Source organism: Homo sapiens, chromosome 10 (assembly GCF_000001405.40).
Source record: "Homo sapiens chromosome 10, GRCh38.p14 Primary Assembly".
NCBI classification, from domain to species: domain Eukaryota; kingdom Metazoa; phylum Chordata; class Mammalia; order Primates; family Hominidae; genus Homo; species Homo sapiens.
Window position 1 is genome coordinate 113,288,515 of NC_000010.11, and position 12,512 is coordinate 113,301,026.

General features: G+C 44.1%; 1 annotated feature.

Annotated features, from left to right (window-relative positions):
- Positions 12,333-12,512: an enhancer, noted in NCBI's record as "active region_4069". NCBI's record gives its function as "activates an Ori minimal core promoter by ATAC-STARR-seq in GM12878 lymphoblastoid cells {active_cell/tissue: GM12878}" and the evidence as "EXISTENCE:reporter gene assay evidence [ECO:0000049][PMID:35858748]".

Sequence of the window (12,512 nt, forward strand, 5' to 3'; positions counted from 1 at the left end):
GAAAGTTTAGAAAATGTGGAAAAGCATAGAGAAGAAAATTAAATCGCATAATCCCAACTACTGCTATTACTTTAAATATGCATCTTTTCAGTCTATTTCATTGACTTTGTGTGTATATATAAATATGTATAATATATATTTAATGAGAATGGATTGTTTTGTTCCAATTGTATAACCTGCTCTGTTCACTTAACAATACTTAGGAAATATATGTACACATCTTCAGATATTCTTCTGTATCATTTTAAATGGTTGTCACTGTCTGGCATTCTGCTATTGGACATCAAATGATTTATTTAAACAATCCCTTATTTTGGTGGTTGCTGTTCTTCTGTACTACAAACCATGAAACAATGAACATTCATTTGGAAAATCTTTGAAAACATCCTTGATTATGTATTTAAGATAAAATTTTAGAAGTAAAATTGTTGAATCACAAATTAATAGTAGAATAGTGGAATTCTTAACCAAGGAACATTTGGTATTTGCCAAGTGTTATTCTAGACAAGAGGTTGGTAAAGTACAGCCTGCAGGTCAAATGTAGCCCACTTCATGTTCTTCAAATAAAGTTTTATTGGAACACAGCCATGCCCAATCATTTGCATATAATTTGTGGTTGCTTTTTGCTCCAAAATGGCAAAGCTGAGTGGTTACAGTGAAGACTGTATATCCTGCAACACTTAAAGTATTTACTAACTGGTATTTTACAGAAAATGTTTGCTGTTCTAGATAATGACACTGTTCTCAGGCAAAAGCTTATGGCCAGCGTGGTAGCTCACGCCTGTAATCCCAGCACTTTGGGAGGCCGAGGCGGGAGGATCATTTGAGGTCAGTAGTTTGAGACCAACCTGACCAACATGGTGAAACTCCATCTCTACTAAAAATAGTAAAAATTAGCCAGGCGTGGTGGTGAACGCCTGTAATCTCAGCTACTCAAGAGGCTTAGGCAGGAGAATCATTTGAATCTGGGAGGTGGAGCTTGCAGTGCGCCGAGATTGTGCCACTGCACTCCACTCCAGCCTGAGCAACAGAGTGAGACTCTGTCAAAAAACAAACAAACAAACAAACAAACAAACAAAACTTGAACTTTTGCTAAGAAAGAAAGAGCAAAAATACTGATGAGGTCACTGGTGACCCTTCTAGCATGACCTCCTAGGTGTTAAATTCTTTGCTGACTTTTTAGTCCTTACCCACTTACTCTTTTGTGTATTTCAAACAAAACACCATTTCCTCATTATGAAACTTTTGCCTATACTGTCTTCAGCAACATTCTTCCCCAGGTCCTTGCAGAGTTTCCTTATTAGTTTGCAATAGAGTCCAGTGGCTAAGAACTTGTACTGTGGAGACAGATTGGCCTGGCTTGAAATCCCAGCTCCTTTGTTTCCTAGTCTTTGGCCTTCAGCACCAGTTTCATTCTCTGAAAAATGAGTGGAATCAACACCTATTTGACAAGTTCCTAGCTCTGCACCCAGCACATACTATGTGCTCAATAAAGGATGGCTTTGTGTCTCCGTTACCTTTCCCAGCATCTCTCCTGTACTAGTCTATTCTCACACTGATATAAAGATACTACCCGAGACTGAATAATTTAGGAAAGAAAGAGGTTTAATTGACTCACAGTTCCACATGGCTGGGGAGGCCTTAGGAAACTTACAATCATGATAGAAGGGGAAACAGGCACCTTCTCCACAAGGCAACAGGAGAGAGGAATGAGTGAAGGAAAAATTTGCCAAACACTTATAAAACCACCAGTTCTCATGAGAACTCACTCACTATCAGTAGAACAGCATGGAGGAAACCACCCCATGATCCAATCACTTCCCACCAGGTTCCTCCTCAACACCTGGGGATTATGTGAGTTACAATTCAAGATAAGATTTGGATGGGGACACAAAGCCTAACCATATCATCTTCCCTGCCTGCTTTCCCTTGAAATGATGGTGTTCCCAGGGCTCTCTTTTCTTTCTATTCTGGCTTCCCTTTGGTTGAAAATTACGCTCAACTGTGGCTGAGTCCTCTCTGCCCTTTTTGGGTTTTACCCATCTCTGCATATTAAACATTTGTAAGTTTTAGATCATTACATGGTGGCCAATAATACCCCAGTCTAGAAACTCAGGTACAGTTTTGTCCAAAGCTATCAAAAGACTTTTAAAATAATTATTAACCTTCCACCTTGTAAAAATCTAAACTTACAATAAAACTTGTGTTTGATTTATATAAAAATTTCTGTCTCAACTTATTCTCCCCACACCTGCTCTCAAGCCATCTCCCACACTCCCCACCAGAGGTATATATAGATAGATAGATAATTTCTGATAATTTCATAGGACTTAAATTCAACAGGAAAAACATGAGTCCAATTTTTTCTGGCCAAAGGATGCTTCCAGAAGGTTTGAAGGCATATCATTCTCATCTTCCAAATCACAGATCATCCTCCAAAGAATTTAACTGCAATCAACTGTTGAGTTTTAAAATGTTGTCTGATTTTCCTGAAAAGAAACAAGAAACAAAATGCAAGCACACACACATATTTTAGGAGAGCTGGCGCTTCTTACTGTGAGCCACTTATCATGATCCAAAAGGTTTACTCAGAGGCATAATTAATTGGAACTTATTTCAGTGGAAGTTATTTCCCTTCATCTCATTACAGAAACAAAAGAAGATTACAGGCCAGGGGATCCATGAGGTTTCAAGAGAGGCTATTGATGAATGAAGTTGGAAGGAGTTGATACACGGTCAGAGATGGTTAACATCCAGAAATTCTTACAAAGAAATGGCAATTCTCTTCCATTAATCCTGTCTTGCCTCTTTGATCTTGAATGATACCATGGCTGCAAGTTAAGTGCAAAACGACCCTGGTGTTAAAGGCCTTCAAAGATCTTGCCCTGGAGAAAGATTCTTCAAGAATTTGGAAGATTAAAAATAACAAAAATGATAATAATTATTTTAAAAAAAGCAGTCAAACCAACAAAACAAAAGTCAGAAAAATGTGAACAAGTAGAGGATCCTTTAGGAAGGTTTTATATAGCTGCTGAATTGTAAATCTGCCATCTGTGCTTGTTATGACAAGGACACTTACGTTAACTTATCACCCCAGCAATTGTGACCCAACATTTACAGGCCCAACATGATTCATTTCCCTGGGGATATGGATCATGTTGGGCCTGTAAATATTGGGTCACAATTTTTTTTTAAGATAAAGTAATTAAATTAAGGAGAAAGTTGGGGGAAGATACCGTTTGGAGGGCACTTGAAAGATTTCTTATTAGATGACCTACTGATTTTTCTTTTGTCCTTTTCATTTTTCCTAACGTTCTAAAGAGCCTCTCCAGGGCTCTCAGAAAGAACTTTAGTAAGGAAGCATTGTGGAAGGTTAAGAGCTCCAATATTTGTGGCAACTATTTGAGATGCCAAAAATTAGAAGGGGCTCAGAGCACCTCTACTCTCACTTTGTATCATCTTCTGACCCAACAGACTGAGCCCCCAAATGTTTCAATATTCTTTTAGCTCTGGAGGTGGCTTAAAGCCATAAAACATTCTTTTAATTCTGGAAATGGGAGAAGAGGAACAAGTATGGCTGTGGAGTGAAGATATTGTCACCCGGCACAGCTGGTGGTCAAGCTCCATGCTCAAAATTGTCCAATTAAAGAAATGAAAAAATGTAAGCTCTGTCAGGAAAAAATGCAAATAAGGTGGCTCGGGGTTAAGATTTTGAGTGGCTTGGTGATTAAAATTATGCTCTTGTTTACTGGAGGAAATGGAGTTTTTAAAAAAAATCTATATACAGTTGGGTGAATTAGGCAACCATCCATTATGTAATAGGGTAACAACATAATCCACCCTAACGGCTGTGAGGCCAGCCAAAGCCATGGCAAAGTTGAGGGACTTGGGCTTTTTCACTTTTCCTGCTTTAGCTCTTGGAAAAGCAAGTGTTTCAGGGAGTTCAGTCTTTCTCTCTCTGTTCAGAGTGTGATGTCTAATGGTGCTTTCCCTCAAATTTGAGTTCTCGTTTTTAGTACAGAAGGAAAACTTCCTCTGAAACAGCACCTATCATTTTTGTCCTCACTAGAGGGATTTCATTCCCTGGTTTTGTATCTGGACATCATCCAATGTGATTCGTTAGGACAGAGGACAGGGAGCATCTACCATGGTTTGTGCAAATTGAGGCATTTGAAGCCACTGGACCATTTTAGAAGTCATTTCATTGAGACAGAAGGGATAACTCCCCTTCGTCTTCCAGGCACTTCCAGACTGATGAAGGTATCCCGAAAACAAAATAGAGTCAGCTGCTTTCTGTTCTGTGGAGGTTGCATTGAGGTGGGCTTCCTCCTCACACTGGCCTTTCTGTTGCCCCAGCTGGTGGGAGAGTGGGTAGAGCTGTAGAGGCTTGGGCAGGGCTGGGAGTGTGTGTGTGCGCGGGTCTGTGTGTACAGGCCTGCATGTGCCTGCACTGTGCGTGTTCCAAAGGCTATTTATAGTGGACACTACAGTGCACTTCCCATGTCTAGCTTCAGGGTCAAGGTGCTCATTCACCCAGCTACTGATGATGTTGGTTGTGGGAGGTTCACAGCCAGGAATTGCCCTCAGCCAAAGAGAGCTGCCTGGCTCAGGTATATGTCCTGTCCCTGGGGCATCATGTACGCAATGACTGGTCCATGCAGGGGCACAAGGCCTCAGTCCCCCACCTGGATTCGAGACAACATTGAGAGCCCTCCCAGCTCCAGAGCTCCCTATAAGATCAGTAGAGGCCTCTGCTGTGACTGTATCACAGCTCAACTTCTCCCTCTGCCCGGTCCTGCTTCCCCCGCACCCCTCCCATTGTGGATCCTGGAAGTGTTCCCCATTATACCTCCTGCAAGCCAATCTGTCTCAGTCTGTTTGTTGTCCAGGGAACCTGTCCACTGACCACATGTCTGCTCCTCTTTAAGTGGATGGTAAATAAGAATTGGCCAATGCATTGCTGGTCTGCTGCTGCGTGATCACAGTGGCAGCTGGATTCCACAAAGTCACCAGGTGTTTCTGGAGACAGTGTTAGTCTCAGGACCCCTGCTATGGCCAACTGTGGGGGTGCAACTTTAGGGACTTGGGGATGTTGGAATGTTTCCTCTCATGTGGCCTGTCATCCTGACTCAAATTCCACCTTTTCGCTACACATTTCTTTTTACCTGAGGACTTTTGGGTTTTCCAAAGTTTTCTGTTGCAAATGTCTGGAAGTCACAGTGTGTTTCTGTGGAGACAGCACATGTTCAAGCCCCAGCTCTGCCGCTTACCAGCTGTGTGATCTTGGAGTTGACCAAGCGTCTTTCTGGGCCTCAGAGTTCTCATATGGGAGGTAGGGCTCTGGGGATGTGTCTGCCCACCTTACAGAGCAGTTGTGAGGTCCAACAATTCTGCGTGGGACACCAGTAAGGGCACTGGGGGAAGTCCAGGTTGGGCAGGAGAATAACGCCTTAACACATCAGTTTGTGTCTTAGTGGGACTTTATCCATCAGCCCCAGCCAGGCCCTGCCAGAGAGGAGCTCAGAAGAGAACTGAAGGAGGGGACCTAGGCGGAAGCTCTGGTTTTGAGGCCATGCAGAGTGGAGTTTAAATCTCATTTCTACCAATGATTTGGGAAGACTACTTAGCCTCTTTGTGCTTCAGCTTCATTATCTACATATTAGTATAACTGCAATCATAGGGTTGTTTATGAAGAGTAAATGAAGGAATTTGGACAAAGTATCTAAAGCATACTTTAGGAACTCACTAGCTTTCACTAGTGGCAGAGTGGAGTAAACTCCCAGCTTGATCAATTACCAGCTGAGTGACTTCAAGTGAAATATTGAATAACCCTGGGCCTCAGTTTACTTGTCTGTAAAATGGAATGATACCACCTACTTTATGTGGTAGTTTTTGAGGCTAATGTAGACAAAGAACCTGGTAGTAACAGCTCTTATTTTTATTTTATGAGACAGAATCTCGCTGTGTCACCCAGGCTGGAGTGCAGTGGTGCGATCTCGGCTCACTGCAACCTCCGCCCCCAGGGTTCAAGCAATTCTCCTGCCTCAGCCTCCCCAGTAGCTGGGATTACAGGCATGTGCCACCACACCTGGCTAATTTTTTGTATTTTTAGTAGAGATGGGGTTTCACTGCGTTAGCCAGGATGGTCTCAATCTCCTGACCTCATGATCCGCCCGCCTTGGCCTCCCAAAGTGCTGGGATTACAGGTGTGAGCCACCGCGACCTGCCAGCTCTTATTATTGTTATTATTTCTAAGGAGGTTTATTTTTTATTGAGGATCCCAGATCAATAGCTGCAACACAATGATCCAATGGAGAAGTTACGTGGATTATTCGCTATGGTGAGCCCCAGAATGAATGGGTCCCAGCATTCTCGCTGAGGATGGAAAGTTCCCAAGTGATTTCTCTTGCCAAATTATTTGTTTCCTAGAAGGGAAATAATACATGGAACTTGGCCACCCTGGGCTCAAGTCTCACTGTTTTCTGGGAATCACCTGATGTCAGGATTTGCAACATGAATACCTGGGCCAGGACAGGGAGCTCTGCCAGGCCACAGACAAAGGCTCCTTTGGTCCCTGGGGTGGCTTTAGCCACTGCTTGGCCAGTTGTCTGCCAGTTGACTCTCGGGTGTCATGTGACCACCCCTACTCAGAGATCTTCAGATAGACTTGAGTCGTTTGTGGGCATTTTGTCACATCCACAACCTTGTGAGGGTATAGAAAAAGTACATTTTCACCACAGAATACCCAGATGGACCCCATTCATACCAAAGAAATTTGCCTTATGCCAAGGGAGAAAGCAGGTGTTGTGGTACAGAAAGAGCACTGGGCTGGGAGTCCACCTGACATGTTATGACAGGCCTTGGCCCCCTCTGCTAATGGGCCCAGGGACTGTGGTTGTAGGGAAAAGAAACTCATACAATTTAGTCTGAGTGAAAAAACAGGGGCATTATTATCAGCACTCAGGGGCATTTCCTGGGACCTCTTTGCAGGAAGTCCACCTGGCCTCACAGCAAGTGGGAAGACACCATCTCTCTCTGACATCCCATAGGTGGCTGTGTCTGCAGCTCCCCGGACACTTGCTCAGCTCTCCTCCCTGCAGACCAACTGTCCTTGCCAGGCCTACTTTCTGTGCCTTACTTTGGCCACCACTGGCTTTGGCTGACTGTGACACTGACTCCACACTCAACACTCGAGGCTTTTCACAACTCACTGATGCAGCCGAGACCAACAATCCCCTTGTTTAAATAGTGAGGAGAGAGAATTTGACTGGCTTAACTCGAGTCACGTGTTTGCTTCTGGTCCAATCAGCTGTGAGCTGGGGCAGTGGGTCCCATTATGCCGTGGGTTGCTCCTCCTGGAGCTATGGACCAAGTAGGCTCTCCTGCAAGGGGATGCAGGTGGCAGAGAGAGAACGAACATTTGGAAAAATTGTTTCAGCTTTCTGGGCTTTATTTTCCTCTACTGAAAATAATCATCATTATTATGTTGGTCATTAAGTGGCCAATTAAATCATTTTGCATATGGAACCCAGCTGACCTTTCCCTTACCACAGCCCACCCCACTTCTGCACCTGTTCAGTCATCTGTGGCCACATACTAATAATCCTAACTCCATTTCACAGGATAAACGGAGTCCATTCTTTTTATTCTTTCCTTCTTTTCTTTTCCTCATTGCAGTAAGAATGCTTAACATGAGATCTATCCTCTTAAATTAGTAAGTATACAGTATATTATTGGTGATCATAGGTTCAGTGTTGTACAGCAGATCTCTGTAGCTTATTCATCTTGCAGTATTCGTCTTTCTGTAATTGGCTTCATTAACTTAGCATAATTTTTTCAAGCTTCATCCATGTTGTCCATATTGCAGAATTTCCTTATTTTCTAAAGGCTGAATAGTATTTCATTGTATGTTTATACCACATTTTCCAATTTCAATTATTTGAATAAATACCCAGAAGTGAGATTGCTGGATCATATTGTAGTTCTAGTTTTAATTTTTTGAGAAAGCGCTATACTGTTTTTCTTTTTTTTTTTTGAGACGGAGTCTCTGTCGCCCAGGCTGGAGTGCATGGCGCGATCTCGGGTCACTGCAACCTCCGCCACCCAAGTTCAAGCAATTCTCCTGCCTCAGCCTCCTAAGTAGCTGGGACTACAGGCGCTTGCCACCACGCCTGGCAAATTTTTTGTATTTTTAGTAGGGATGGGGTTTCACCTTGTTGGCCAGGATGGTCTCGACCTCCTGAACTCGTGATCCACCTGCCTCAGCCTCCCAAAGTGCTGGGATTACAGGTGTGAGCCACCAAGCCCAGCCTGAGAAACCGCTATACTGTTTTTCAGAGTGGCTATATCATTTTGCATTCCCACCAATGGTGTGCAAAGATTTCAATTTCTCCACTTCTTTGCTAACACTTGTCTTTTGTTTTTTGGTAATAGCCATCCTAACAGATGTGAGGTGATATCTCATTGTGGCTTTCATTTGCATTTCTCTGATAACTATTGATGTTGAGCATTTTTTCATATACCCGTTGGCCATTTTGTATGTCTTCTTTGGAGAAATGTCTATTCAAGTTCTTAACCCATTTTAAATTGAGTTATCAGGGTGTTTTTTTTTTTTTTTTTTTGTACTACTGAGTTGTAAGGGTTCCTTATATGTCTTAGAGATTAACCTCTTATCAGACATATGATTTGCAAATATTTTCTCCCATTCCATAGATTGCTTTTTCACATTGTTGATTGTTTTCTTTGCTGTGCAGAAGCTTTTTAGTTTGACATCGTCCCACTTGTTTACTTTTGGTTTTGTTGCCTGCATTTTTGGTGTCATATTCATTATAGGAAGTGCATTCTTCAAGAAAGTTCTCTTCTCTAGGGCATTTCTGGGACTCCTGAGGAATGTGTACAGGTTTCTTAAGTGGTGGCGTGTCATCCCCTGCAGGCCACTTGCTCTGCATTCTTGCCCCACTCGAGCTCAGCTGGACATCTCCAGCATCCTGTTTTCCAGGCTGCAGACGCATATCTTTATCCCTAATATGGATGTGAGCTCCTTCCTTCAGGGCCCGAAGCACAGCTGAAATATGATGGAAATGGTATAACTTTACTATTTGGGGATAATGGAATTTAACTAGAAGAATAAGGTTTGCCCTGTGTAGCTTCTATGGGGCTTTCATAGGCTAGAGGACCCTGAAGAGACCTTCAGAACATTTCTGCTGATGAGTCCCAGCCACTCTCAGAGAGAGGAAGAGCTCCATCCCTGAGTCCCAAGTCCACCTCATCTCATTCACCAGGAATCGTCCCATTTCCCAGGAAGCCTGCCAATGGGCTTCCATTTTCTTTCCTCTGAAGGGAATGTCCCCTCCGCTGCCCCAACCAGGCTGCTGTCTGACCCCACAACCTCTACCAAGTGGTCACACTTGTCATTGCCCCTCTCCCAAATCTGGCTTCTTCAACTAAAGTAGCCTGCAGGAGTAACTCAATTGCCCGGACCTGGTTTTGGGGGCCAAGCCTGGACCAGGGTCCTTTCATCATCTGCCAACATTCAGAAAAGAGAAGATGGGGCCTGCATCTCCCTCCTGGTACGGGCAGGTCTTGGCAGCAGATCACCTGTGAGCTCATTCTTGGTCAAAAATACAAATGAAACTTCCAAGAATAAACAGTGATCTTCAGACATAGGACACTGAAATCCCATGTTTTACAGAAAATGAATTTCTGACTTTAGATTTCATCTGAGGAGTCTCCGATTGACATTTGTTAATGATATGCATTAGAATGAGAACTGGTCCTACCAGCACTACCAGGAGGGCCCAGTGACATGGCCCCTCCTGAACAAAGGGAGTATCTGCTCAAAGGTAAATTCATTTGTTTTTTCTTTATGGACTAAAGAGATTATCTGACATTCCCCAAATGGCGATTTTCCACCTTCAATATTTAAAGCCGCAGTCTCTTCCAGGTGCCCCGCTACAATAAATTATGTTCTTTGATCCTCCCAACAACTTTGTAAGGTAAGGTATGATTTTCTTCCTCTTGGAAATAAGGAAACTGAAGCTCAGGGGCATGTGATAATTAGCCTAAGGCTAGTAAATTGCAGGGTAGGATTCAAACCCAGGTTGGACTCAGTCCTTTGGCCTACATCAGGCTTGTCCCATGGCTCTTCCAGGTTACAGTTCTGAGGTCCTTATGATACTGGGCAGCTCTGATGCTAGTGTGTGGGAAGGCAGGAGGTAACTCTCCAAAGGGAACTTCTAAGGAAGGACCAGCTGTGTCATGTGCAGGGCCCACTGAAGGATGGCAGTGTGGGGCCCTTATTCAAAAGTTTCTAAGAATTCAAGGGCCGGGCGCCGTGGCTCATGCCTGTAATCTCAGCACTTTGTGAGGCCGAGACAGGCAGATCACTTGAGGCCAGGCATTTCACCAACATGGTGAAACCCCGTCTCTACCAAAAATAGAAAAATTAGCTGGGTGTAATGGCGCATGCCTGTAATCCCAGCTACTGGGGAGGCTGAGGCATAAGAATCGTTTGAACCCAGGAGGTGGAGGCTGCAGTGAGCCGAGATTGTGCCACTGCACTCCAGCCTGAGTGACAGGACGAGACTCTGTCTCCAAAAAAAAAAAAAAAAAAAAAAAAGAGAATTCAAGACCCCAACAGCATAGCTTTAAACAAAGCACAGGGCCCTTGTGAGCCCTGGGCCCCATGCAGGTGGCATGCCTGTGGAGCTGGGGAGCAGGATGAGTCACCTTGCTCCTGCAAGGAGTGCGGGCTGCAGGGTGATCTGGCACTGTGGGAAATGGGGCAGTTTTCTAGTGAGTCTTCTCCGCCTGCTCCCTGTCAGGTGACATGATTGTCAGAAAGAGCAAGAGACTGAAGTGTCGAGTGTACCAGATAATTTTTGCAGTTTAGCTGCTTTTATTCCTTCCCTATTGTTGTTGTTTTGAATAATCTGTGTGGCTTTTGAAGAAATTGCTCAAACCGGTTTGAGCCTTAATAAGATATGAAAAAATTGGAGGCAAAGGGTTCCTGGTGATAAAAGCACAGCTTTCATGTGGCGCTGCAGGCGCCGGGAGCGGAGAAGCCGGGTACGGCGCACTCATCAGAGGCAGGTGGGCGGCCAGAGTGCTGTGCGCAGTGGGACTTGGCACTAAACAGCAGAATGACAATTGGAAACATAAAAGCCAAGGCAGAAAGTGAGAAGGAAATAGAGAAAAACAAACCCCCAACTCAACTACAGCCACCTGAATGAGGAGGAAGGTGAGGGAGGAAGGCCGCCGGTAAGGATCATAAGTGGTGAGCAGCCCCTGCTGGCAGGTGAGGTCTCTGGTGGTTCCCCCCAGGACAGAGGTATTTGGGCACCTGGCTGGGACTCCCCAAAAGGCAGTTTGCTAGAGAGGGACTAATGTGAACTGACACCTCCAAAATTCCCAGGTCATTGTTGTCTAACCAGCTCCTCTGAAAGCCAATCTCTGGCTTGGCGCTTCATCAAAGGTCCGTGACCATCCTATGTGCAGCTTGGAGCTGGCCTTGGGGATACAGTGGCTAATAGTCAGGTGAGGTCCCTGTCCTCCTGGGATTCTCAGTCTGGGGGAGGAGCTGCACAAATGGGCAGACAGGTAGACTTGCAGGGGAGGTGCTGAGGGGTGTATGCAGAAGAGCCATCTCACCCAGAGATGACCTCTCCCTGGGAAAGCAACATGTGACATTTCCATCCAACAGGAAATCTGAAGGATAAGTAGAATTTATCCATGAGTTGGAGATGGTGAGGGTGAGGAGGGGATTCCTGGCTATGGGGAAAACATGGGCAAAGGCCAGGAAGCAAGAAATGGGATGTTGCATTGGAGTGATGGAAAAACCTTTTAGTCAGCAAACATTAATTGAGTGGCTACTATGTGCTGCAATGCTAGTGAGCCATCCCTTATGCTTGACTGTGCCACTCCCAGTCACTTGCTTTTCCACTTTGAGACCCTTGCCTGCTTCCCTGTTTTCTCTATTCTTTCCATCCCACAACATCAATTGGTCCCCTCCCTTGAATTTATTCCATGTATTAGCAGAATACAAATTTAATTGCTATTTCAGAGACCAAAATACCATTGACTCAAATAAGAAAGAGGGAAGTTAATTGTGCTGTCACAAGACTCCCCCAGAATAAGCAGCGTTAAATTAGCCTAAAGCTGTCTCCTTACATATTCTAAGTTCAGCCTAAAGGTTTCTCTGCGCACAGTGAACTGTAACCTAACTGGATGTCTAAACAGACTGTAACCTGCTCTTGTGCCAATCACCAAGTTTTGGCCAATCAAACTTGGACAACTGTTACAAACCATGTTCAAATAAGGCAAATGTGGAACTGTAAACAATCCAGCTGTTTCTATACCTCACTTCCGTTTTCTGAACATCACTTTCTCTTTTTTTTCCTCTCTGAAACTATTCTGGTTTAGGGGGCTGCCCAACTTGTGAATCATTCTTTGCTTGATTAAACTCTGTTAAATGTAGTTTGTCTAATTTCTTTCTCTCTTTCTTTCTTTCTTTT